This window comes from Homo sapiens, chromosome 12 (genome assembly GCF_000001405.40).
Source record: "Homo sapiens chromosome 12, GRCh38.p14 Primary Assembly".
In the NCBI taxonomy this organism is placed as follows: Eukaryota; Metazoa; Chordata; class Mammalia; order Primates; family Hominidae; genus Homo; species Homo sapiens.
Window position 1 is genome coordinate 19,341,183 of NC_000012.12, and position 27,938 is coordinate 19,369,120.

Genomic DNA, 27,938 nt, shown 5'->3' on the forward strand with positions numbered 1-27,938 from the left:
AGGAGGATTGCTTGAACCCAAGAGGCAGAGGTCACAGTGAGCCAAGATCACATCGCTGCACTCCAGCCTGGGTGGCCGAGTGAGACTCAGCCTCAAAAAAAATGAAAGGAAAAGAAAAATAGTTCAAAGTTAGTAGTAACCAGAGAAATGCAAATAAAATAAAAATTAGATTTGCATTGTATACCGTTTCAGATTGGCAAAAATGTGTCTATACATATATATATCTTTTAAATTTTATGAAAGTAATACATGTTGTATATAGATGTGCAAGGATCTGTTATTTATAGTGACCTTCCCATCCTCTGTGTCAGTATTTACATCTCTGGGCTGTCGTTGTGTTTGGCTCTTGCATGGGTACTTTCTTTTTTTTTACTTTTTGATGCTTCCAGGCTGTAGCTTGGAAAACTAGATAACTTAGGTTATGTAGTGCCTTTTTGGAGCAGCATTAATTCATAGTCTTTAGGCTTATAGACTTTTCTTGAGTTTTTTCTTTTTCTTTTTTTAATCTTTTGATCAACTCCCAAGTGCTTGGAAGACTTTGAAAACATATTGCTTTTTTTTTCCCCCTGTGACAGAGTCTCACTCTGTCACCTAGGCTGGAGGACAGTGGCACGATCTTGGCTCACTGCAACCTCTTCCCCCAGGCTCAAGTGATCCTCTCACCTCAGCCTCCCAAGTAGCTGGGACCACAGACATACACCACCCCGCCCAGCTAAGTTTTTGTATTTTTGGTAGAGATGGGGTTTTTCTGTGTTGCCCAGGCAGGTCTTGAACTCCTGAGCTTAAGCAATCCACCCACTTCAGCCTCCCAAAGTGCTGGGATTATAGGTGTGAGCCACTGTGCCTGGCTGAAAACATATTTCTACCCATTAGAGGACTTTTTTAGCATATTGATGCAATACTGATTATATTCTAATATCTATAGTCATTAATAACTGATACTCAGCCAAAGAAAGTATTGTTCTAGGCAATGTGACAGTTTTTGTATGTCATTGCCTATTTTTAAAAATAAAGTTACATTCCTAGAATAGTGTTTAGTATTATCCAGAATGGTGTTATTATTACCCTATTTATGAATAAGAGTCATAGATTTCTAATAGAATCTCAGAGAAAACCAATGTAATCTTATTTTGGTTTCAGTTAGTGTATTTAACCTGAGGGCATGATGTGGAATTTTAGAAGTAAGAAAATTGGCCGGGCGCGGTGGCTCACACCTGTAATCCCAGCACTTTGGGAGGCTGAGGAGAGCGGATCACCTGAGGTCAGGAGTTCAAGACCAGCCTGGCCAACATGGTGAAACCCCATCTCTACTAAAAATACAAAATTAGCCGGGTGTGGTGGCACATGCCTGTAATCCTAGCTACTCGGGAGGCTGAGGCAGGGCAATTGCTTGAACCTGGGAGGTAGAGTTTGCAGTGAGCTGAGATTATGTCGTTGCACAAAATACAAAAATTATGGCATAGCACGTGCCGTAATCCCCACTACTGAGGAAGCTGAGGCAGCAGAATCACTTGCGCCCAGGAGGCAGAGGCTGCAGTGAACTGAGAGCTTGCCACTGCACTCCAGCCTGGGCGACAGAGCAAGACTCTGTCTCAAAAAAAAATAAAAATAAAAAAATACATTTAAACTCTGTCAGTCAAAATTCATCTTGATATATTTTGTTAGTTGTACCTTTGTTGTTGTTTTTATGTTCTAGAACCTAGGAAGTTAGTACACCTTCCATTTCTCACCCATTCCCCAATGCCCTGCCACATCTCCCCCTCCCAGAAATTATTTTTTCTTTTGGGGTTTGTTTCTGCTCTGTTTTCATTCTCTCTGTTTGTATTTTCCATTTTGGGTCCCTTTTAATCAATATGCCTTCCTGGTATCATAAATAATGTAAGACAAAGCTTATTGGAAAGATTTAAAATAGTATATTTAAGTATGAAAATTAAATATTTTTCTTGCTCTGCTCAGTCTTTTATATTTGCCACTGGACTTGCAAAATTGGGAGAGTCACATCAATCATATTAAATATTCGTAACACTTAATTCACTGCAATTTGCATTTTTAGATGTAATTTATATAATTAATATATAATCATTTAACTTCAGTGAATGATTTTTTTTCTTATATATGGTCTATCCATTTTTACTGATAGACGGAATCAGCAGGAATTCAGCGTGCACAGATTCAGAAAGAACTTTGGCGAATTCAGGATGTCATGGAAGGGCTGAGTAAACATAAGCAGCAAAGAGGTACTACAGAAATAGGTAAATTAGCTTTGCATTTTATTTTGTGACTGACCACAGTATTACAGTCATGTGTCGCTTGGTGACAGATTACATTCTGAGAAATGCATTGTTAGGTGATTGTGTTGTACAATCAGAGTGTACTTAAACAAATCTAGTTGTATGGCCTACTACACACCTAGGCTATGTGGTATATAGCTTATTGCTCCCAGGTTGCAAACCTGCACAGCATGTGACTGTACTGAATACTGTAGACAGTTGTAACACAATGTTATTTGTATATCTAAACATAGAAAAGGTAATGTGTTACACTCTGACATGAGGGCAACAACTAGGCAATAGATATTTCTCAGCTCTGGCTGGGCACAGTGGCTCACACCTGTAATCCCAGCATTTTGGGAGGCTGAGGTGGGCAGATCACCTGAGGTCAGGAGTTCAAGACCAGCTTGGCCAACGTGGTGAAACCCTGTCTCTACTAAAAATACAAAAAAAGCCAGGCATGGTGGCGCATGCCTGTAGTCCCAAATACTCAGGAAGCTTAGACAGGAGAATCGCTTGAACCCGGGAGGTGGAGGTTGCAGTGAGCCAAGATCATGCCAGTGTGCTCCAGCATGGGCAGCAGAGGGAAACTGTCCCAAAAAAAAAAAAAAAAATTTTCTCAGCTGCATTATAATCTTATGGGACCACTGTCGTATATGTAGTCTGTTGCTGACCAAAACATTGGTATGTGGCACATGACTGAATGTCTAAATGGAATGACATATATAATTGAGTTTCTTTTGTTATTTTAATGCATTTTTCTGAACAGGCACTCTTAACATTGAATCAGAGCACAGGTTTATAAAGTAAAAAGTGAAAGCTCTGTCAACCATACCTAAACAAAAATAATTATTGTCTTGTGTGTATAATTATAAATATCCACAATGTTTACACTTTAGAAGTTTTATCCCCACAACAAGAACTGGGATCATCCTATATCTATTTTTCAATAATTTGCTTTTTTCTCCATAACAATGCAGTGTAAGAATCCATTGTATAAGGGAACTGTAATATATTTATCCATTTCCATATTGATGGATAATGTATGTTGTTTCCAGAGTTTTTTATGAATGCTGTCATAAGCCATGCCATAGTGAACATTATTAATACATACAACTAAACACATATGTTAGTACTTAATGGATTTTAAAAGGTGAGAAATAAGCACATGTTTTCCATTTGGATAACTGCGGCCAAAATGCCCTCCTGAAGGATTATTTCACATTATGTTAATACCAGTAATGTTTGAGAAAACCCATTTCCCCATACTCTTGTTTAAATATTTGTTGCCTTTTTAATGTAATTGCTTTCCAATTCTGAAAACAATAAGTGAATGATTAGAAACTGAAGACTTCATTTAAAATATGTGAAATCGGCCAGGCGTGGTTGCTCACGCCTGTAATCCCAGCACTTTGGGAGGCCGAGGCAGGCGGATCACTTGAGGTCAGGAGTTCAAGACCAACCTGGCCAACATGACAAAACCCCGGCTCTACTGAAAAAAAAAAAAAAAAGTACAAAAATTGGCCAGGTGTGGTGGTACGCACCTGTGGTCCCAGCTACTTGGAAGTCTGAGGCAAGAGAATCTCTTGAACCCGGGAGGCAGAGATCACGCCACTGCACTCCAACCTGGGCAACAGAGTGAAAAACAATAAAGAAATAAAAATAAGCCGGGCGCAGTGGCTCATGCCTGTAATCCGAGCACTTTGGGAGGCCAAGGCGGGCAGATCACCTGAGGTCAGGAGTTCGAGACCAGGCTGGCCAACTTGTTGAGACCCCATCTCTACTAAAAATACAAAAATTAGCCATGCATGGTGGCGTGCACCTATAGTCCCAGCTGCTCGGGAGGCTGAGGCAGAAGAATTGCTTGAACCTGGGACGCAGAGGTTGCAGTGAGCCGAGATCTTGCCACTGCACTCCAGCCTGGGCGACAGAGCGAAACTCTGTCTCAAAAAAAAATAAAAATAAAAAATAAAAATAAATAAAAATAAAAATAAATTTAAAAAAAAATACATGAAATTGTTCTTTTTTTGGCTGGACGCCATGGCTCACGCCTGTAATCCCAGCACTTTGGGAGGCCGAGGCAGGTGGATCACTTGAGGTTAGGAGTTCAAGACCAGCCTGACCAACACGGTGAAACCCCATCTCTACTAAAAATAAAAAAAATCAGTTGGGCGTGGTGGCGCACGCCTGTAGTCCCAGCTACGAGAGGCTGAGGCACAAGAATTGCTTGAACCCAGGAGGCGGAGGTTGCAGTGAGCTGAGATCACGCCACTACACTCCAGCTTGGGCAAACAGCAAGACTTCATTTCAAAAAAACAAAAGAAATTGTTCTTTTTTTATAGTATTAGAAAGATATGTTTAATATAGTTACGTTTTCTAATATTCCCAGGTATGATAGGATCAAAGCCTTTCTCAACAGTTAAGTACAAAAATGAGGTAAGTTTGGATTGTTTTTCTAATTATAAATTACTTTTAATGCTTAAGAGATGAATTAGAAGTAATTGTCTTCTCTAATCTTAATAACAAAAATATTTTTTAAATATATTGAACAGATATTGTTTTAGTCTTGAAATTTTATTGGATCAGTAATTTGGTGCTTCTAATATGTGATTTTTCTTCCCTTTTTTAATGCAAAAAAATGGAATCTCTGCTTTTTATCTGTTAGAATTTTAACGTTGTCATACTTTTTCTAATCTAAGTAATGTTTGAATACTTATCATTGTTTCTTATACTATGTAAAATTTATAGGATGATCGATAGATAAGTTGGTTGTATGTCATGCGTAGCATAAAGAAATTACAACTACAAAGAGATACTGTCAACCTAACCAAAAGAATCTATTATTTTGAATTTCGTATAAAAACCAAAGAGGTAACTTTTTTTTTTCCTCTCTTAAAAATTGGGGGGCCAGGTGCAGTGGCTCATGCCTGTAATCCCAGCACTTTAGGAGGCCAAGGCAGGAGGATGTCTTGAGCCCAGGAGTTTGAGACCAGCCTGGTAAACATAGCAAGACCCCCATCTCTAGAAAACATTGAAAAATTAGACGGGCATGGTGTGCCTGTGGTCCCAGCTACTCGGGAGGCTGAGCCAGGAGGATCCCTTGAGCCCAGGAGTTCAAAGGTGCAGTGAGCTATGTATGATCAAATCACTGCACTATAGCGAGACCCCATCTCTACCAAATAAATAAATAAGATAAATTGTGAAAATATAAGAATAGGATTTTAAAATCAGTTCTTTCCTTCTAGTTTTAAAATGAAACCCAGTAATTAGTTTTAAATAGTAATCTCTTTCAATGTTGAGTTTCAGTGTGAAGCTAACCTATATGTTACAGGAAAGAATCAGATGTAATTATATGTTAAATTCCAATTATTGGCTATGATAAAAAATTTTTGATTTTACTTTTCATTATTAGACTTTTGGCTTGGCAGTGTCCCTTTTAGTATCTTAAAGTAAATTTAAGTTAATATACCATTGCAAAGAATTTAGATATGCTTAATTCAATCTGCTTATCTAAATAAGGTGACTGTTCTACAATCTTTAGGAAGAGGAAGTAGTCCCACCTCGTCCTCCACTTCCTCGGTCCTATGACTTTACAGAGCAGCCTCCCATAATCCCCCCTCTGCCCAGTGATAGCAGCTCCTTGCTCTGTTATAGCAGGGGCCCAGTTCATCTGCCTGAAGAAAAGAAGATGTATCAAGTTCAAGGATATCCAAGAAATGGATCTCACTGTGTAAGTGGCTGGAATAGCCACAGAATAATCAATCCTACATGTCCTCTCATTTTTGAAAATTAATTTATTTTACACTCAAACTTTTTTTTTATTATAACCTTTATAACCTCATTTTTGGCCAGCAGTTTTTAGTTTATATATGACTTTATCATTTGTGTCTTTCCTGTTTTGGTTTTGCTATTCTCATTTTTAATATTTTTATAATTTTAATATTTTATAATTTCATAGCATTTTTCATATTTTCATAAAGTGGTAACTTTTCCCATGATGAAGCAGCCGTATTTTAGATATACCATTTTAGGGTATTGGAGGCAAGATTATACCTTCAGATCAGAAAGAAGGGAGAAAGAAAAAGACCGTTACTAGGGATGGTAAAGGGGCTGGGATGTGGACATTTTGGTCTAGGAAAACTACTCAAAGATGTGGATGTTGCTAAGGAGAGATGTCACCCCTGAAAATGGGAAATACGTTTAGGGTTAAGCAAATAATGTAGGATATAATAAGCAAAGAGAAAAAGGAAATTAGAATTGAGCTAATTTGAGAACAACAAAATGTCTGTGACAGGAATTTTAGTGCTGGGATGGGCCTCACTTAGACTACCTTGTGAATGAAAATTTATTGAATTAATATAGTTATTTTTAGCCCTCAATTATTCCATCATAAAAATGTGACTTTGTTCCTAAGAGGAACAGAAATATTCTTTTTTTTTTTTTTTTTTTTGAGACAGGGTCTCACTCTTTCCCAGGCTGGAGTGCAGTAGAGCAATCTCAGCTCACTGCAAGCTCCGCCTCCCAGGTTCAAGTGATTCTCCTGCCTCAGCCTTCTGAATGGCTGGGATTATAGGCGCACACCACCATGCCCAGCTAATTTTTGTATTTTTAGTAGAGACAGGGTTTCACCATGTTGGCTGGGCTGGTCTCAAACTCCTGGCCTCAGGTGATACACCCACCTTGGCCTCCCAAAGTGCTGAGATTACAGGTGTGAGCCACTGCACCCGGCCAGAAATATTCTTAATATTAAAACGAAGTTTTGCCACTTAAAAATTTCTCAAATTTCTTCTTTCCACGTAATTGTGACATAGGTATTATTTGTGTTATATCCCAGATGGCTCACTAGGGCTACTAATGTTTAGAGTTTGATTTGTGTCTTTAGCAGTAAACATTTTAAAAGAAACTTTTAGCAGTTTTTTAGGGTAATTACATGTCTTCCTTTCAAGGGTCCAGATTATAGACTCTACAAGAGTGAACCAGAGTTAACAACAGTGGCAGAAGTTGATGAATCTAATGGAGAAGAAAAATCAGAACCTGTTTCAGAGATAGAAACTTCAGTTGTTAAAGGTCAGCATTTGTAATATGTTTTACCTCTTGGTTTTTGTTTTTGAAGACAATTTACTGCCAAAATAGTAGTAAATTCCATTTACATGTTGACTCATATATGAGTCCAACCCTTTATCTGAAACCTTTGGACTCTGATGAGTTTCTAAATTAAGAAATTTTCAGATATTAAAAGATAAAATGGCCCATAAATGATATATGTCATCTCAGCTAGGTATGAGGCAGCACCCTTTTTTTAACACTATTTCTACAATATTCATTCCAAGTGGCATAAATAAATGCTAAAAATAAAAGACATTAGCTGGGCATGGTGGCACGTGCCTGAATCCCAGTTACCCGGGAGGCTGAGGCAGGAGAATCACTGGAACCCAGGAGGTGCAGGCTGCAGTGAGCCGAGATCGCACCACTGCACTCCAGCCTGGGCAACAGAGCAAGACTTCGTCTCATAAATAAAAATAAAAGACATCACATCAGATTAGGTTTTACTAAGAAATAAGTTTATGTCAAACTTTAAAGTTTCCCATTTCCTGGGAGAGTTTTCTTTTTTTTTTTTTCTGTTTCTGGTGGTTGTTTTTGTTGTTGTTGTTGTTGTTGTTGTTGTTGTTTGTGATGTGTTGTTGTGTGTGAGGTCTCACTCTGTCACCTGAGCTGCTGTACTGGAGCAAACATGGCTCACTGTAGCCTCGACCTCCCAGACTCGGTGATCCTCTCACTTCAGCCTTCCAAGTAGCTGGGACTACAGGCACACACCACCATACCCAACTAATTTTTTAAGTATTTGTAGAGACAAGGTCTTGCCGTGTTGCCTAAGCTGGTCTTGAACTCTGGGGATCAAGCATTCCTTCCACCTCAGCCTCCCAAGGTGTTGGGATTACAAGCATGTGCCACCACACCTGGACAGGGTCTTTTCTGTGTGTGTGTTTAAAATTATGCATAAGGTATTAATGGCTGAAACAAATTTTCACACAATATCAACAAAGTAAATTCTAAAATAATATTTCTGTAATGTATACTCTGATTTTTTTCTTAATGCTGGTCATTTTTCTAGAAGGCAATTGCGTAAAGAAAAGAGTAGAGAGAGAACTATCCTAGATTAAAAAGATAGATAGGCCAGGGGTGGTGGCTAACGCCTGTAATCCCAGCACTTCAGGAGGCCGAGGTGGGCGGATCACCTGAGGTCAGGAGATCAACAACAACAGCAACAACAACAACAACCAGAAACAGAAAAAAAAAAAAAACTCTCCCAAGAAATGGAAACTCTACCAGCCTGGCCAATATGGTGAAACCCCATCTCTACTAAAAATACAAAAGTTTGGCTGGGCACGGTGGCTCACTCCTGTAATCCCAGCACTTTGGGAGGTGGAGGCGGGCAGATCGCAAGGTCAGGAGGTGGAGACCATCCTGGCTAACATGGTGAAACCCTGTCTCTACTAAAAATACAAAAAATTAGCCATGCATGGTAGCACACACCTGTAGTCCCAGCTACTCAGGAGACTGAGACAGGAGAATCACTTGAACCCAGGAGTCAGAGGTTGCAGTGAGCCAAGATCGTGCCACTGCACTCCAGTCTGGGTGACAGAGTGAGACTCCGTCACACACAAAAAAATAACAGATAGATATATCGCACTGTTTGAAACTTGATTGGACCATGGTTTAAAAGAAGAATCTCTAAAGTAGCACAATTAATGGAAATTTAAACATGTTCTAGATATTAGCTAACAGTGTGATTGTGATATTGTGGTTGTGTAGTAGAATGTAGTATGTGAATTCTGAAACACTTAGGACAAAAGCATCTGCCACTTTTAAAGGATTCGCCAGAAAGAATGTGTATGTATTTATGCAGAGATAATGTAAGTGTGACAAAATGTAAAACTTTTTAGAAAAATAAGTGCTTATCATAACCCACTGGACTGATTTTTGTAATCTGCTAAAGGATCACTAAGTAAAGTTTGAAAAACATCAAAGTGAGGCCAGGCTTGGTGGCTCACGCCTATCTATAATCCCAGCATTTTGGAAGGCAGAGGCGGGCGGATCACAAGGTCAGGAGTTCAAGACCAGCCTGGCCAACATGGCGAAGCCCCATCTCTACTAAAAATACAAAAATTAGCCAGGTGTGGTGGCGGGCACCTGTAATTCCAGCTACTCGGGAGGCAGAGGCAGGAGAATCACTTGAACTGGGAGGCAGAGGTTACAGTGAGCCAAGATCGTGCCACTGCACTCCAGCCTAGACAGTGACTCCATCTCAAAAAAAAACACAAAAGCAAACAAACAAGAAAACACCTAAGTGGTAGTAATGTTCACATAGCTTTTTTCATTGTTGGAATATTTTTCTAGGTTATCTAATGTCGTTTTTTAAATTTAAAAATACTGGCATCTTGAAAATTTAATATTTATACACCTTTTCTTTCTCATCCTAATCCTGTCTCCTTATTCAAAGTCTTTTTTTTTTTTTTTTTTTTTGAGACAGGATCTCACCATCGGCCCAGGCTGGAGTACAGTGGTGAGATCATGGCTCACTGTAGCCTCCTTCCTCCTCTGCCTGCCAAGTAGCTGAGACTACACACGTGTGCCACCACACCTGGCTAATTTTTGTATTTATTGTAGAGACAGGGTTTCACCATGTTGCCCAGGCTTGTCTCAAACTTCTAGGCTCAAGCAATCTGCCTGCCTCAGCCTCCCAGAGTGTTGGGATTACAGGCGTGAGCCACCACACCTGGCCACAACAAAGACTTTAAATGGGCTGGGAATGATGGCTCATTCCTGTAATCTCAGCACTTTGGGAGGCCGAAGCAGATGGATTGCTTGAGTCCAGGAGTTCAAGACCAGCCTGGGCAACATAACCAGACCTCATCTCTATTTTATAAAGTAAAAAATGTATTTAGCTTTTTTTTAAGCATATACAACAACTATTTGACAAAAATAGCATATAAATGAGGAGGAAGTTTATTGATATTAATACGCTTTAACATCTTTGTTTTGTTCTGAATCATGGTAATGATTTTGACTAACTTCAGACTTTCATAAGTTTAAGTATGCATGCTAGGGTTTAAGATAAAAGAAATTGTTGAGACTGCAGAGAGCTGTGATCGTGCCACTTACACTTCAGCCTGAACAACACAGCAGGACTCTGGAAGGAGAGAAAGATAATCCAAAAAAGAAAAGAAGCTGGAGAAAATGCAAAGCAAAAAAATACATTGTTAGAAATAAATCTAAATACATTGGCAATTACAACAAATATAATTGGACTGAATGCTTCACTTAAAAAGACTGGCCAAGGCAGGGCGCAGTGGCTCACACCTGTAATCTCAGCATTTTGGGAGGCCGAGACAGGCAGATCACCTGAGGTCAGGAGTTCCAGACCAGCCTGACCAACATGGCGAAACCCTGTCTCTACTAAAAATACAAAATTAGCTAGGCATGGTGGCATAGTTTGCCTGTAATCCCAGTTACTCAGGAGGCTGAGGCAGGAGAATCGCTTGAATGCAGGAAGCAGAGATTACAGTGAGCCGAGATCACGCCATTGTACTCCAGCCTGGGCAACAAGAGCGAAACTCCATCTCAAAAAAAAAAAAAAAAAAAAAGACTGGCTGGGCCTAGTGGCACGCGCTTGTAATCCCAGCACTTTGGGAAGCTGAGGCAGGAGGATGGTTTGAGCCCAAGAGTTCAAGACCAGCCTGGACAACGTGGCAAGATCCTGTCTGTCTCTACAAAAAAATAAATTAGCCAGGCGTGGTAGCACATGCCTGTAGTCCCACCTACTCAGGAGGCTGAGGTGGGAGGATCGCTTGAGCCCAGGAGGCAGAGGTTGCAGTGAGCCGAGATCGTGCCATTGTACTTCAGCCTGGGTGACACAGCAAGACTCCATCTCAAAAAAAAAAAAGAAAAATACAGAAGATAAAGTGAAAATGAGTACCTATAGTTAGCTATTGTTAACATTGTTAGTGGACACTTTGAGGCAATATTGTATGATTTTTTTAAAGCCAAGCAGAAATTAAGAACATTTAGGTTGAACTAACTTGTTAACGATGATGATAGAGATGTATCAGTATGACAAAGAAGGCTTTTTTTTTTTTTTTTTTTTTAAATAGAGATGGGTCTGTGTTGAGCAGGCTGGTCTCAAACTCCTGGCCTCAAGTGATCCTCCCATCTCAGCCTCCCAAAGTGCTAGGATTATAGGCAATGAGCCACAGCACCTGGCCAAAAGAGGGCATTTTATAATTAATGTTCTTAAAAATGTCATCAGTTAATCTGTACAATTTTTTCTTCTCTTTTTTCTTTTTTTTTGTTTTAAGGAGACAAGTTCTTACTTGCTCTGTTGCCCAGGCTGGAGTGCAGTGGTGCGATCTCAACTCACTGTAACCTCTGCAGTGATCCTCTCACCTCAGCCTCCTGAGTAGCTGGGACTATAGGTGTACACCACCACACCCAGCTTTTTTTTTTTTTTCAATTTTTTTGGAGACAGGGTCTCACTATATTACCCAGGCTGGTCTGAAAATCCTGAGCTCAAGTGATCATCCCGCCTCAGCCTCCCAAAGTGCTAGGATTACAGGCATGAACAGAATTTTGTTTTTAAATATAACCCTAAATTTATCTGGTGGTATCATTGACTGACTTTGACTCTTTTATTTTTATTTATTTATTTTTTTATTTATTTTTGAGACAGAGTCTTCTCTGTCACCCAGGCTGGAGTGCCGTGGCGCTATCTCAGCTCACTGCAACCTGCACCTCCTGAGTTCAAGCGATTCTCCTGCCTCAGCTTCCTGAGTTGCTGGAATTATAGACACCTGACACCATGCCTGGCTAATTTTTGTATTTTTTATAGTAGAGATAGGGTTTCACCATGTTGGCTAAGCTGGTCTTGAACTCCTGAGTTCAGGTGATTCACCCGCCTCAGCCTCCCAAAGTGCTGGGATTACAGGCGTGAGTCACCACGCCCAGCCTGACTCTTTTTTTTTTATTTTTAGACAGAGTTTCGTTCTTTGTTGCCCACGCTGGTGCAATGGTGCGATCTCGGTTTACTGCAACCTCTGACTGCTGGGTTCAAGTGATTCTCCTGCCTCAGCCTCCCGAGTAGTTGGGATTACAGGCATGCGCCACCACGCCCATCTAATTTTGTATTTTTAGTGGAGACGGGGTTTCTCCATGTTGGTCAGGCTGGTCTCAAACTCCTGACCTCAGGTCATCCGCCTGCCTTGGCCTCCCAAAGTGCTGGGATTACAGGCGTGAGCCACCGCGCCAGGCCAGCCTGACTCTTTTTAAATAAATTTGCTTTCTGATTTTAAAAAGTGTCAGAAATTAAGTAAGCTAAAAGAAAGCAATGCTGTATAAAAGATGTTTTGTAAAACTTACTGCTGTTTTAATTTTTAGGTTCCCACTTTCCTGTTGGAGTAGTCCCTCCAAGAGCAAAATCACCAACACCCGAATCTTCGACAATAGCTTCCTATGTAACCTTGAGGAAAACTAAGAAGATGATGGATCTAAGAACGGTATTTAACTGGAAATTAATCTTCTAGGAAGATTCTCACATCTATTTATTGCTTTCTTACATGTTTTCATTTTCAGTGTCTTATCAAAATTATTTTTGCATACTCAAAGAAAAACTTAGTAATCTTAGTTATTCTTTATTCTTTTTTTTTTTTTTTTTTTTTTTTTTGAGACGGAGTCTCGCTCTGTCGCCCAGGCTGGAGTGCTGTGGCGCGATCTCGGCTCACTGCAAGCTCCGCCTCCCGGGTTCACGCCATTCTCCTGCCTTAGCCTCCGGAGTAGCTGGGACTACAGGCGCCCGCCACCACGCCCGGCTAATTTTTTTTGTATTTTTAGTAGAGACGGGGTTTCACCGTGTTAGCCAGGATGGTCTCGATCTCCTGACCTCGTGATCTGCCCACCTCGGCCTCCCAAAGTGCTGGGATTACAGGTGTGAGCCACCGCCCCCCAGCCCGATCTTAGTTATTCTTAAAAAAAAAAAATTGTTTTTTTTTTTTTGAGATGGAGTCTCGCTCTCTCGCCTGGGCTGGAGTGCAGTGGCGTGATTTCAGCTCACTGCAAACTCTGCCTCCCGGGTTCACACCATCCTCCTGCCTCAGCCTCCCAAGTAGCTGGGACTACAGGCGCCCACCACCACGCCTGGCTAAATTTTTTTGTATTTTTATTAGAGACAGGGTTTCACCATGTTAGCCAGGATGGTCTCAATCTCCTGACCTTGTGATCCGCCCGCCTCGGCCTCCCAAACTGCTGGGATTACAGGCGTGAGCCACCGCGCCCGGCCTTAAAATTTTGTTTAAAGAATTAGCACGTCAGAGGACAGACCTAGTCAACACCTAATTTAAGTTTCTTTTGATCAGCCTAGACATGGGGTCATAGTCGTAGTCCACAATTTGTAGAATCTATTCTCTAATCACTGTACTACACTCCTTGATGCCTCTTAAGAATTTTCTCGATGAGAGGTATAGATGTGTCCTGTGGCCTCCCAAAAGTTAGTGGATTTTCTAGCTATCATGAGGTTGCAGGGCCTTTTAGCTATGGTATTAATAGCTTTAGAGTTTGCCAGTCCTCTGGTTACTCTGAGAAATGTGAGTTGGAACTAGAAAATAAATCCTATATTTTACATTTTCATCTGAGATTCATTTAATTCAAACTCCAAACCAGTCGAGTTTTGTTCTTTGGAAAATGCTGAGAACACTTAACTCCCTTTCTTCAAGTATTCTCTAGAAATTTGGGCTGCAAAAATGCTTCTACTTCTTATCTTTATCAATACTCTACCTATTTGGTATGAGATAATTTTAGGCTATAAGACAAGAAAGGTACTACATATAAGATATATGGCTAGTCTTTTTTTTTTTTTTTTTTTTTTCAATGGATAGGGTTTCACTCTATTGCCTGGGCTGAAGTGCAGTGGCATGATCATAGCTCACTGCAGCCTCCAACTCGTGGACTCAAGGGATCCTCTCACCCCAGCCTCCTGGCTAGCTGGGACAATAAGCACGTACCACCATACTCGGCTAAATTTTTTTTTCTTTTTTATTAGTAGTGACGGGGTCTCTCTCTGTTGCCCAGGCTAGCTGTTCTTCAAAGATATTAAAGTACAACTACAAAGTACATGCCAAAAAAAACTCAGCTGCATTTATACATAGGAAATGTAATGTTTTCAATTAGTACAAAAGTATAAAGATCTATAGAAATAATTATCATGGAATAAAGATAATATATCAGCATTAACATTAATGGTCATGATTCTGTAATACTATTGTTTGTTCAGAGTTAGGCATTTTTTACAGATTGGAAGATTTCATTGGAAATGGTAAAGCTAAAATAACAAGTCTACAGAAAAAGGACTACAAAAAGTGCATGTTAAAATCAAGCAGAGGCCAGGTGCTGTAGCTTACACCTGTCATCCCAGCACTTTGAGAGGCCAAGGCTGGCAGGCAGATCATTTGAAGTCAGGAGTTCGAGACCAGCCTGGCCAACATGGTGAAACGCTGTCTCAACTAAAAATCCAAAAATTAGCCGGGAATGGTGGCAGGCACCTGTAGTCTCAGCTACTCGGGAGGCTGAGGCATAAGAATTACTTGAACCCAGGAGGCGGAGGTCGCAGTGAGTCGAGATTGTACCACTGCACTCCAGCCTGGGCAACAGAGTGAGACTCTGTCTCAAAAAAAAACAAAAAAAAACAACACACACACAAATATAAAATCAAGCAGAAAGATACTAGCAGGTTTAGGCCAGGCATAGTAGCTCATACCTATAATTCCAGCACTTTGGGAGGCCAGGTCTGGAGGATTGCTTGAGCTCAGGAATTCAAGACTAGCCTGAGCAACATAAGGAGACCCCATCTCTACAAAAATTACCAAAAAAAATTAGCCAGGCATGGTGGCCTGTGCCTATGGTCTCACCTACTCAAGAAGCTGAGATAGGGTGGATCACTTGAGCCCAGGAGGTCGAGGTGAGCCATGATTGCTCCACTGCACCCCAGCCTAGGCAGCAGAGTGACAGCCTGTCTCAAAAAATAAATACATAAATAAATAAAATTAATTAAAATTATAAGGGAAAATATATTTTACCACTTATTAAGTGGAAATAGTTCATCATAAAGATCTTCATCCTCATCATCTTCACATTGACTGGGTGGAAGAAGAGGAAGTTGTTTTTCTTTTTTTTTTTTTTTTTTTTTTGAGACAGAGTCTCTCCCTGTCGCCCAGGTGCAATGGCGTGATCTCAGCTCATTGCAACCTCTGCCTCCCGGGTTCAAATGATTCTCCTGCCTCGGCCTCCCGAGTAGCTGGGCCTACAGGCGCCCGCCATCATGCCCAGCTAATTTCTGTATTTTTAGTAGACACAGGGTTTCACCATGTTGGCCAGGCTGGTCTCTAACTCCTGACCTCGTGATCTGCCTGCCTCGGCCTTCCAAAGTGTTGGGATTACAGGTGTGAGCCACCGCGCCCGGCCTAAGCATTTTCAAATATGACTGATTTATAGAAAATAAGTGTTTTCGTAGTTTTATTACTGATGAGAAAGAAAATAGAGGTGTTTGTTTTATTAGTCTTTTCACGGTAAATGTATAACTTAAAACATTACGTTTTCATCAAAATAAAAGAAATCTCTAATATTTAGACACTGTGCCCCTGCTTTTCTCCTCATTTGAGTTTTATTCAGTTTTCTCTTTCAGGGTCAAGTTTTATGCAATTTTCTATTTCAGGGTCATGGGACTGGCTTGCTCCAGAGCTGCCATATTCTTTATATTCTTTTTTTTTTTTTTTTTTTGAGACAGACTCTCACTCATTGCCCAGGTTGGCACAATCTCAGTTCACTACAACCTCTGCCTCCTGGGTTCAAGCAATTCTCCCACCTCAGCCTCCCGAGTAGCTGGGACTACTGGCATGAGCCACCATGCCTGGCTAAATTTTTTGTACTTTTATAGAGACAGGGTTTCGCCATGTTGGCCAGGCTGGTCTTGAACTCCTGATCTCAAGTGATCCACCTGCCTCAGCCTCCCAAAGTACTGGGATTATAGGCGTGAGCCACTGCACCCAGCCTGCCCTGCCCTTTTATGGTGGTGGTGATGGTGTTTTTTGTTTTACCCAGATTTACTGGAACTGAGTTATGGGGGTTTGTTTGTTTGTTTGTTTGTTTGTTTGAGATGGCATCTGGCTCTGTCATGTCATCTGCATGCTGGAGTGCAGTAGCACGATCTCAGCTCGCTGCAACCTCCACCTCCTGGGCTCAAACCATCCTCCTACCTCAGCCTCCCAAGTAGCTGGGACTATAGGCATATACCACCACACCTGCCTGGCTAATTTTTGTATTTTTGGTAGAGACGGGTTTTTACCATGTTGCCCAGGCTGGTCTCAAACTCCTGGGCTCAAGTAATCCACCCACCTCAGGGTCCCAAAGTGCTGGGATTATAGGTGTGAGCCACCACTCCTGGTCCATATTTTTTTTTTAAGCCAAAAAAATATTTTCTATTCCTCTTTTCTCTCTCCTCCCTTATAATATCGTCTCTTTTTCTTTCTGTTATTGAGCATACATCACCAATTACTAGTTAAGGATCAAATAGCAATTTCATGTGCCTTTCTGGTGATATCTAAATGACATTCAAAACCTCTTCTTGTGATTTTGAAAACAAAATAAATAAATGCACTTTACAACATTTTTTATTCCATCATACTTTTCAGAAGTTTTCATTTATGTATTGATATGTTCATTTTTACATTGAAGGAAAGACCAAGAAGTGCAGTGGAACAGCTCTGTTTGGCTGAAAGTACTCGACCAAGGATGACTGTGGAAGAGCAAATGGAAAGAATAAGAAGACATCAACAAGCGTGCCTGAGGGAGAAGAAAAAAGGGTTAAATGTTATCGGTGCTTCAGACCAGTCACCCTTACAAAGCCCTTCAAATTTAAGGGATAATCCATTTAGGACTACTCAGGTATATGAATTGCATTTGATTATTATTTTGTGTAAATCTAGTATCACTGAATTTTGGAATCAGAGTTACATGATTGATAGGTCTTAAAAGGTCTGCAGTATGGATACTTATTTTATATTATTTAATTCTCCTAATAATAAGCTAAGACAGCTAAGTAAAATGTAAATAACCCTGAGTTCAAGAGACCAGAGCTAAACTACATGTTGGATGCCCGTGGACTAGTTGTGGACTTAATGTCTTCAACTTTACAGTGATGATACAGCTGCCCAGACTCCTTAGAGACACTAAGAAAATAAAAGGGTTTTCAACAAATGTAAAATGCTATGCAGGTTACCAAGATAGTCCCCAATTCCCCTCTCAATAAAATATGTATTGCTCTGTGTCCTGATTTAACATGACCTAAATTGTAGCAGGAGAGAGCTTCTAAATAAAGTTCCAAGTGTGCTGTCCATCACCTCTCAACTTCAGGCTTATAAAGTGATGCCATTTTGTTTCTTTTTGTTTTTTGCCCCTCTTTATAAATTCAGAGACAGCAGCCTAGCCAACCTGTTCAGTAGCTTCTGTCTGGTCTTTCCCTGTTTGTAGACACTTGTCACCTAGCAATAGTATCTTAAAAGTTTGTCTATAATGGCATAAACTGAATGCATCAGCTGAACATGCTTTCCTGTCCTAATGAATATCCCCTCTTTCCACCGAATCAAGTGCAGGCATTGCTAATGGAGACTAAACAAAGCAACAGTTTGAATTGTGGCACATTCTGCAAATTACAAAATGAATGGTTTTTTTTAAAAGAGTTGAGAAAAATGTGTGGAATAGTGCTATATATATAAATTTTCTTTGTTAGTTTTCATAGGAAAACTTCTTCATGAGTGGAGATCCAGCTTTGTTCTATTTTGAGAATTAACAGGCACTATTTATAAAATATACATGCATGCACAGTATGAGTATAAAAATGCTATATGTCTTTTGAGCAGACTCGAAGGAGGGATGATAAGGAACTGGACACTGCCATTAGAGAAAATGATGTAAAGCCAGACCATGAAACTCCTGCAACAGAAATTGTTCAACTAAAAGAAACCGAACCCCAAAATGTGGACTTCAGCAAAGAGGTAGCGAGATTATTTTATGAAAGGTATTCCAAAGGAATAGATTTGTGAAGATTAAATCAAGTGGTAAGGTTGAAAATAAAGTGTGTTTCTTTCAGTCACAGAGTCCATAGAGCTAAATGAAAAAATAAGCTTTCTGGCCGGGCGCGGTGGCTCACGTCTGTAATCCCAGCACTTTGGGAGGCTGAGGCAGGCGAATCACGAGGTCAGGAGATCGAGACCATCCTGGCTAACACGGTAAAACCCCGTCTCTACTAAAAATGCAAAAAAAAATTAGCCGGGCTTGGTGGCAGGCTCCTGTAGTCCCAGCTACTGGGGAGGCTGAGGCAGGAGAATGGCGTGAATCTGGGAGGCGGAGCTTGCAGTGAGCCGAGATCGCGCCACTACACTCCAGCCTGGGCGACAGAGGGAGGGAGACTCCATCTCAAAAAAAAAAAGAAAAAGGAAAAATTAAGCTTTCTTTAGTTTGATTGATGTATTCAGCCACATCAAGATATGCATTAATTGACTGGGCACGGTGGCTGGTGTGTGTAATCCCAGCACTTTGAGAAGCTGAGGCAGGCGGATCACTTGAGCCCAGAAGTTTGAGACCAGCCTGGGCAACATGGTGAAACCCTGCCAATACTGAATACAAAAATTAGCCAGGTGTGGTGGCATGCACCTGTAGTCCCAACTGCTACTGGGGAAGCTGAGGTGGGAGGATCACCTGAGCCCAAGTCGCAGTGAGTAGAGATGGGCCACAGAGTGAGATCCTGTTTCAAAAAAAAAAACAAAAAAAACGTGGCGGGCACAGTGGCTCATGCCTGTAATCCCAGCACTTTGGAGGCCAAGGCGAGTGGATCACTTGAGGCCCGGAGTTCGAGATCAGCCTCGCAAACATAGTGAAACCCCATATCTACTAAAAAATACAAGAGTTAGCCAGGCACAGTGACACATGCCTGTAATCACTACTTGGGAGGCTGAAGCAGGAGAATCGCTTGAACCCGGGAGTCAGAGGTTGCAATGAGCTGAGATCGCGCCACACTACCCTGCAGCCTGGAGGACAGAGTGAGATTCCGTCTCAAAAAAAAGAAAAAAGAAAAAGAAAAAAAGAAAAATTAAAAAAAAATGCATTAACTGAAAATTTAAAACATAATCAGTCACAGCTAGATTAAATTATCATTAATCCCGGTTAAGGAATCTTATATCCCAACAGCTAGGTCTTAGCAATATGCACCATCTCTTTTTTTTGAGACAGAATCTGACCCTGTCGCCCAGGCTGGAGTACAGTGGCGTGATCTTGGCTCACTGCAACCTCTGCCTCCCAGGTTCAAGTGATTCTCCTGCCTTAGCCTCCCAAGTAGCTAGGATTACAGGCATGTGCCACCACGCCCAGCTAATTTTTTGTGTTATTAGTAGAGACGGAGTTTCACCATGTTGACCAGGCTGGTCTCGAACTCCTGACCTCGTGATCTGCCCGCCTCAGCCTCCCAAAGTGCTGGGATTACAGGTGTGAGCCACTGTGCCCGGCCTGCATCATCTCTTTAGACAAATAACTTTTTGCATCCTAGTAGTAAAGAATGTTAATATTATTAATATACTTGAACCTAAATTTATTATCAGTAAATATTTGATAGAGTGTGATTGTTTATTTATTTTTTTGTTTGTTTGTTTGTTTTGAGACGGAGTCTCGCTCTGTCACCCAGGCTGGAGTGCAGTCCGCGATCTCCGCTCACTGCATGCTCCACCTGCCAGGTTCACGCCATTCTCCTGCCTCAGCCTCCCGAGTAGCTGGGACTACAGGCGCCCGCCACCACACCCCACTAATTTTTTTGTATTTTCAGTAGAGACAGTGTTTCACCGTGTTAGCCAGGATGGTCTCAATCTCCTGACCTCGTGATCCGCCCTTCTCGGCCTCCCAAAGTGCTGGGATTACAGGCGTGAGCCATCACGCCCGACCGTGATTGTTCAATAAACTTTATTTTGGAATTATTTTAGATATGCTAATCTAATGTGATAAGAATTCTTTGAAAAGAAAATTTTTCTTTTTATTCTACAGTTAAAAAAAACTGAAAACATTTCATATGAAATGCTTTTTGAACCTGAGCCAAATGGAGTAAATTCTGTGGAAATGATGGATAAAGAAAGAAACAAAGACAAAATGCCTGAGGATGTTACATTCAGGTAATATTTAAGAAAAGCAAAGGAATCATTCACAAAACTGTGTAACTGCTTAAAAATGGTGAACTTCAGAGTCAAAAGTACTGGATTTCAGCCCCAGCTTAGCTACCTAGGAGCTATAGAATCTTGAGCAAGTTATATAACCTCTTAAACTACACATTCCTCACTTGTAAAAATGGCAATAGGGCTGGACGCACTGGTGCACATCTATAATTCCAGCACTTTGAAAGGCCAAGGCAGGAGGATCACCTGAGCCCAGGAATTCAAGACCAGCCTGGGCAACATAATGAGACCTCATCTCTGAAAAAAAAAATTAGCCAGGCATGGTGGCATGTGCCTGTAGTCCTAGTCTGTACTCGGAGGCTGAGGTGAGAAGATCACTTGAGCCCAAGAGCTCGAGGCTGCAGTGACCCATGATTGTGCCAGTATACTCCAGCCTGGGCAACAGAGTGAGACTCTGTCTCAAAAAAAAAAAAAAAAAAAAAAAAGGCATAATAACAGTATCTATCTGACAGGTGTGTTGTAAAGATTAATACGAAAACACATGTGGCCAGGAGCAGTGGCTTATGCCTGTAATCCCAGCACTTTGGGAGGCCAACGGGGGCAGATCACTAGAAGTCAGGAGTTTGAGACCAGCCTGGCCAACATGGTAAAACCCTGTCTCTACTAAAAGTACAAAAATTAGCCAGACATGGTGGTGCATGTCTGTGGTCCCAGCTACTTGGGAGGCTGAGGCAGGAGAAATGCTTGAACCCAGGAGGCAGAGGTTGCAGTGAGCCAAGATCACACCACTACACTCCAGCCTGGGCGTCAGAGTGAGACTCCATCTCAAAAGAAAAGGAAAAAAAAAGAAAATACATGTACAGCACTTTACACTGTGCTTAGCACCTAGGAAGTATTCAATAAATGATACCTTACCCCAGGTGCATGCCTGTAGTTCCAGCTACTCAGGAAACTGAGGTGGGAGGATTGCTTGAACATGGGAGGTCAAGGCTGCAGTGAGCCATGATCACGTTACTACACTCCAGCCTCGGCAACAGAGCAAGACCCTGTCTCAAAAAAATTTTAAAAAGAGAGATAAATACCTTAAAAAAAAAAAGTCAAAAGGCATATAAGCTGTAGCAGAGTAAGCAATTCATCACTGCCTATGCAGTCGGCCCTCCATATTCATGGATTTATGCCTTTACAGTCGGCCCTCCATATCCATGGATTCCGAACCCATGGATCTGGAGGGCCAACTGTACTATGCCATTTGATATAAGGGACTGGAGCATCTGCAGATTTTGCTATCTGTGGGGGGGCCCTGAAATCAGTCTTCCCAGGTAATGATTGACATTGGTCAAAATTCTAAGCTGTCTCATAAGAGTTCCAGAAATTATGGTGATTTTCTTTTTTCTTTTAGCTATATTTCTTTTTTTGTTTTTTTTTTGTTGTTGTTTTTTTGTTTTTGAGACAGAGTCTCGCTCTGTTGCCCTGGCTGGAGTGCAATGGCGCAATCTTGGTCCACTGCACTCGGTTCCCGGAGGGAACCTCTGCCTCCTGGGTTCAAGCAATTCTCCTGCCTCAGCCTCCTGAGTAGCTCAGACTACAGGCGCGTGTCACCACGCATGGCTAATTTTTATTTTTTTATTTTTTTTTTTATTTTTAGTAGAGACGGGGTTTCACCGTGTTAGCCAGGATGGTCTCGATCTCCTGACTCATGATCAGCCCGCCTTGGCCTCCCAAAGTGCTGGTATTACAGGCGTGAGCCATCGTGCCTGGCCATTTTTAGCTATATTTCTTAACTAGCCTTCTTTTTTTTTTTTTGAGACAGAGTCTCACTCTGTCACCCAGGCTGGAGTGCAGTAGTGCAATCTAGGCACACTGCAACCTCCACCTCCTGGGTTCAAGCGATTCTCCTGCCTCAGCCTCCCAAGTAGCTGGGATTACAAGCGTGTGCCACCATGCCCAGCTAATTTTTGTATTTTTAGTAGAGACGGGGTTTCGCCATGTTGGCCAGGCTGGCCTCAAATTCCTGACCTCAGGTGATCCACCCGCCTCAGCCTCCCAAAGTGCTGGGATTACAGACATAAGCCACCATACCCAGCCTTAACTGGCCTTAAGAGTATATCTTCAATCTTTCCCTCCATTAAACATATTACCGGCACTAGAAAACAGAAATGCTGTGGTTTACTGTTATTAGGAATGCCTTGATTTCTTAAATGAATAGCAAGATTGAATTTGAAAAGTATTTGGCAATGTCTGCTAAGAAAAATATCTCTGCTGAATTTTTGTATTAAGAAGCATAGATTAAAACACAGTATATTAAAAATTGATGAGTTCATAATGATACAACAACAAAAAAATTACTTGTTGGCCATTTTGGAGGATGCTAGAGAATCAACTTTTAATTCCAAAACTTGGTACATTAAGGGAAAGGATCAAGTATTTATCATGTTTTTTTCCCAAATTGTAACCAAATAGTTTGAGGAAACTTATTTTTAGAAGAATTTCAAGTGGGAGTCAGAGTATCATTGTTTTGTGGCAGGGTGCAGTGGCTCGTGCCTGAAATCCCAGCAGTTTGGGAGGCTGAGGTGGGCAGATCAATTGAGGTCAGGAGTTTGAAACTAGCCTGGCCAATAATATGGTGAAACACTGTCTCTACTAAAAATACAAAAATTATCCGGGCATAGTGGTACATTCCTGTAATCCCACCTGCTTGTGAGACTGAGGCACAAGAATTGCTTGAGCCAGGGAGGCGGAGGTCTCAGTGAGCCGAGATCCCGCCACTGTACTCCAGCCTGGGCGACAGAGTGAGAATCTGCCTCAAAAAAAAAATATATATGTGTCATTGCTTTGCTAGCCCTAATGCCATAATGGATTTGAACAATATTCCTCAGTGGCTGCCAAAGCTATCAGCTGAAAATCTGACAAGGATCTTTATATGAATGGGTCAACCCAATAACCCCTGAACTCACTAATGTTTGTTTTTTTTTTGAGACGGGATCTCACTCTGTCGCCCAGGCTGGCGTGCAGTGGCGCAATCTTGGCTCACTGCAACCTCTGCCCCGCCGCCCGATTCAAGCAGTTCTCCTGCCTCAGCCTCCCAAGTAGCTGGGTTTATAGGCGCCTGCCACTGTGCCCGGCTAATTTTTGTATTTTAGTAGAAACAGAGTTTCACCATCTTGGCTAGGCTGGTCTTGAACTCCTGACCTCATGATCCTGCCTTGGCCTCTCAAAGTGCTGTGATTACAGGCGTGAGCCACCGCGCTCAGCCACACTGATCATTTTTAACATCACAAAAAGAAACAATCTGTTAATGCAATAGTTCATGACACCCACCTAATGAAGTGCTACTTGCCCCTCCAAAACCTAAATTTGAATAAGCCTTAAAATCATATAACTTTGGCCAGGCGCAGTAGGTCACGCCTGTAATCCCACCACTTTGGGAGGCTGAGGTGGGCAGATCAAGAGGTCAGGAGATCGAGACCATCCTGGCTAACACGGTGAAACCCCGTCTCTACTAAAAATACAAAAAGCCGGACGTGGTGGCAGGCGCCCGTAGTCCCTGCTACTCGGGAGGCTGAGGCAGGAGAATGGTGAGAACCTGGGAGGTGAGCTTGCAGTGAGCCTAGATCGCGCCACTGCACTCCAGCCTGGGCGACAGAGTGAGACTCCGTCTCAAAAAAAAAAAAAAAAATCTTATAACTTTATAGAAAATCCTGAGGGATACAATCATCAGAATCCAGAATGTGATAAACTATATAGGACAGATAGACCAAGTTCTTTTACATATAAATGGCAAAGAATAAAAGGGATCTGGGGCAGTTTGTTTTGGATTAAAGTAGACTTTAAGGAATTTGTCAGGCAATATATGGACCTTGTTTGGATCCTGATTCTAATTCTAAAATGACATTATGAGGCACCAGGAAAATTTAAGCACTGACTGGATATTTGATGGCATTAACATATTAAAAATATGTTCTGAAGTACTTACAAATTAAATATCATATGTAGAATCTGCTTTAAATGGTTTAGGGAGCAAGGATTTTAGGGCTTAGATGAAGCAAGATTGGCAAACCAAGTAATTATTGAAATGAATATACAGGTTTATTATTTGCTCTAATTCTTTTGTTTGAAACTTTCAAAAGAAAGAAAAGATTAATTGTAAGAAAATGTTCGTTGTTAAACATAGGTGGTGGCATCTTTTATAACAAAAAAAAGAAAAATTAATTGTATTCTATAGTGACAAATTTTTAAATACCAATCTATTTTCATCAGCCCTCAAGATGAAACACAGACCGCAAATCATAAACCAGAAGAGCATCCTGAAGAAAATACAAAGAACAGTGTTGACGAACAGGAAGAAACTGTTATTTCTTACGAATCAACTCCTGAGGTTTCTAGAGGAAATCAAACAATGGCAGGTAGGTAGTATACACTTCATAATTTTCTACCTGGTGCTTCCTCTGAACTTCTAAATTTATTTTCCATGGGGAGATTCTAAGAAGGGAATCGCTTAAGTACCTTGACTACAGATGAGTCAACGTTTGCCTCCCCAAGTGTACCTTCAGGAGGATGCAGCCCCTGCCAGAGTCTACCCTGGCAGAGGGATCAACACATTGGCTTTGGTTTTGCTTTTTCCTTTCAATTTTAACACATAGAGTAAACTTTTTCTAATAAAATCTTTTGGCCGGGTGCGGTGGCTCACACCTGTAATCCAGCATTTTGGGAGGCCGAGGCAGGTGGACCACGAGGTCAGGGGTTCAAGACCAGCCTGGCCAAGATAGTGAAACCCCGTCTCTACTAAAAATACAAAAAATTAGCCGGGCATGGTGGCAGCCACCTCCAATCCCAGCTACTCAGGAGGCTGAGGCAGAGAATTGCTTGAACCCCAGAGGCGGAGGTTGCAGTGAGCCGAGATCGTGCCACTGCACTCCAGCCTGGGTGACAGAGCGAGACTCCTTCTCAGAAAAGAAAAGAAAATCTTTCAGTACTTGGAAAATCTATCTGTTCTCAGGGCTAGATTCTCAGAGTATTCACAAGCCTGCCACATTGGGAACTGTGGAGGATTTAATATCTAAACTAATAGAATGGGTTTGTTTACTCCAGCATTGCTATAATCCATACCTGGCTGTTCCTTCAATTGTAGAAAATTATTATCCATGGCATTTTAAAAAAAACAAGTTGTTCTGTGCTCTATTCTCTCATATTTTTTGGACTCTTCACAAATCTTTTCTTTTTTTTTCCTGGAGGCAGAGTACTCCCTCTGTTGCCAGCGCTGGAGTGCAGTGGCGCTATCTTGGCTCACTGCAACCTCTGCCTCCCTAGTAGCTGGGACTACAGGTGTGTGCCACCACACCCGGCTAATTTTTTGTATTTGTAGTACAGATGGGGGTTACTATGTTGGCCAGGCTGGTCTGGAACTCCTGACCTCCAGTGATCAGCGCGCCTCAACCTCCCAAAGTGCTGGGATTACAGGCATAAGCCACCATGCCCGGCCCTTTTACTCTTTTTCTTTATGATTTTTTGGGAACAGGGATGGGAATTAGTGCATATTATCGCTTTGCTTCTTCTTTTTTTTTTTTTTTTTTTTTTTTTGAAGCTCTTTCACCCAGGCTGGAGTGATGTGGCGTGATCTCAGCTCACTGCAATCTCCACCTCCCAGGTTCAAGCGATTCTCCTGCCTCAGCCTCCCAAGTAGCTGGGATTATAGGTGCCCACCACCACGCCCAGCTAATTTTTGTATTTTTGTAGAGGCAGGGTCTCGCCATGTTGGCCAGGCTGGTCTTGAACTCCTGACCTCAGGTGATCCACCCACCTCAGCTTCCCAAAGTGCTAGGATTACAGGCGTGAGCCACCATGCCCAGCCAGCTTTGCTTCTTTTTTATTTTATTTTATTTTATTTTATTTTTGAGATGGAGTCTTGCTCTGTTGCCCAGGCTGGAGTGCAGTGGCGCGATCTCCACTCACTGCAAGCTCCGCCTCCTGGGTTCATGCCATTCTTCTGCCTCAGCCTCCTGAGTAGCTGGGACTGTAGGTGTCCGTCACCACGCCTGGCTAATTTTTTGTATTTTTTTTTTTTTTAGTAGAGATAGGGTTTCACTGTTAGCCAGGTTGGTCTCAATCTCCTGGCCTCGTGATCCGCCCGCCTCGGCCTCCCAAAGTGCTGGGATTATAGGCATGAGCCACTGCGCCCGGCCCAGCTTTGCTTCTTGTAGTCCATAAGTAAAAAACCATTCCTACAAAACCCCGCCACCACTCCTGCCCTTTTGCAGAAGAGTAAGAAACAATGAAATTCAAGTATTCAGGACCATTCTTCTTAGGAAAAGCATGGGGTTCTGGGCAGAACATCTTCCGTATCTTATATAAATATAACGTGTATGTTATAAATTTAAATAAAATAAACTTTATTTAATTTACTTATTTAAAATAAATTATAAATTTATATTACCAGTCATGTTCCCTTGTAACAAATACTAAGCACTGCCTTTTCCTTTGCCTCTGTCACTTACAAGGCAGTATGAGCTGGGTGCAGTGGCTCACGCCTATAATCTCAGCACTTTCGGAAGCCAAGGCAGGAGTATTGCTTGAGCTCAGGAGTTCAAGACCAGCCTAGGCAATGTAACAAGACAACGTTTCTACTAAAAATAATGCTTTTAAAAAATTAGCCGGATGGGATGGCACTATAGACCCAGCTTCTCAGGAGGCTGAGGTAGGAGGATCACCTGAGCCCAGGAGGTTGAGGCTACAATGAGCTGTGTGACTGCATTACTGCTTTCCAGCCTGAGCAACAGAGCAAGACCCTGTCTCAAAAAATAAATAAATAGCCAGGCACAGTGGCTCACGCCTATAATCCCAGCACTTTGGGAGACTGAGGCAGGTGGATCACCTGAGGTTTGGAGTTCGAGACCAGCCTGACCAACATGGAGAAACCCCGTCTCTACTAAAAATACAAAATTAGCCAGGCATGGTGGCCATGCCTGTAATCCCAGCTACTCAGGAGGCTGAGGCAGGAGAATCGCTTGAACTTGGGAGGCAGAGGTTGTGATGAGCCGAGATCACGCCACTGCACTCCAGCCTGGGCAACAAAGAGCGAAATTCTGTCTCTAAATAAATGAATAAGGTAGTGTGCACAGGAGGTCTCACTTGTTAAAAAAAAAATTGTCACTGGCCAGTTTTGGTTATTATGCAGCAGGTCTGGATCAAAGTGTTATGATAGTATTAAAACCACAACATTTAAATCATCCATAGTATTTAGCTGCATAGAACTAAAAAAAGTTCCAACAGAAAATTAACCTCAAAGCAGAAAAAAAAAATGTAAAGTATTTTTTTTGTTTGTTTGTTTTTTGTTGTTGTTGTTGTTGTTTGAGACAAAGTCTTGCTCTCTTGCCCAGGCTAGAGTACAGTGGTACAATCTCAGCTCATTGCAGCCTCT

At 41.6% G+C, this 27,938-nt stretch overlaps 1 protein-coding gene across 72 annotated transcripts in view; it reads left to right on the forward strand.

Annotated features, from left to right (window-relative positions):
* PLEKHA5 (pleckstrin homology domain containing A5) overlaps nucleotides 1–27,938 on the forward strand; it is a 246,668-nt gene that overhangs the window by 211,450 nt on the left and 7,280 nt on the right. For 41 of the 72 annotated variants that reach the window (NR_169816.1, NR_169817.1, NM_001385929.1 and 38 more), the window contains 8 exons: nucleotides 2,141–2,252; nucleotides 4,660–4,706; nucleotides 7,217–7,337; nucleotides 12,702–12,820; nucleotides 17,046–17,255; nucleotides 18,230–18,364; nucleotides 20,400–20,524; nucleotides 24,782–24,927. Coding sequence is in view for 66 of the 72 variants with exons in the window: in NM_001385929.1 (NP_001372858.1) it covers nucleotides 2,141–2,252; nucleotides 4,660–4,706; nucleotides 7,217–7,337; nucleotides 12,702–12,820; nucleotides 17,046–17,255; nucleotides 18,230–18,364; nucleotides 20,400–20,524; nucleotides 24,782–24,927 (1,015 nt within the window). In the remaining 6 variants the exon portion in view is untranslated. Of the gene's footprint in view, nucleotides 1–2,140; nucleotides 2,253–4,659; nucleotides 4,707–5,811; nucleotides 6,001–7,216; nucleotides 7,338–12,701; nucleotides 12,821–17,045; nucleotides 17,256–18,229; nucleotides 18,365–20,399; nucleotides 20,525–24,781; nucleotides 24,928–27,938 lie in introns of all 72 variants that reach the window. The other 31 variants (NR_169820.1, NR_169819.1, NM_001256470.2 and 28 more) reach the window with 5 other exon arrangements.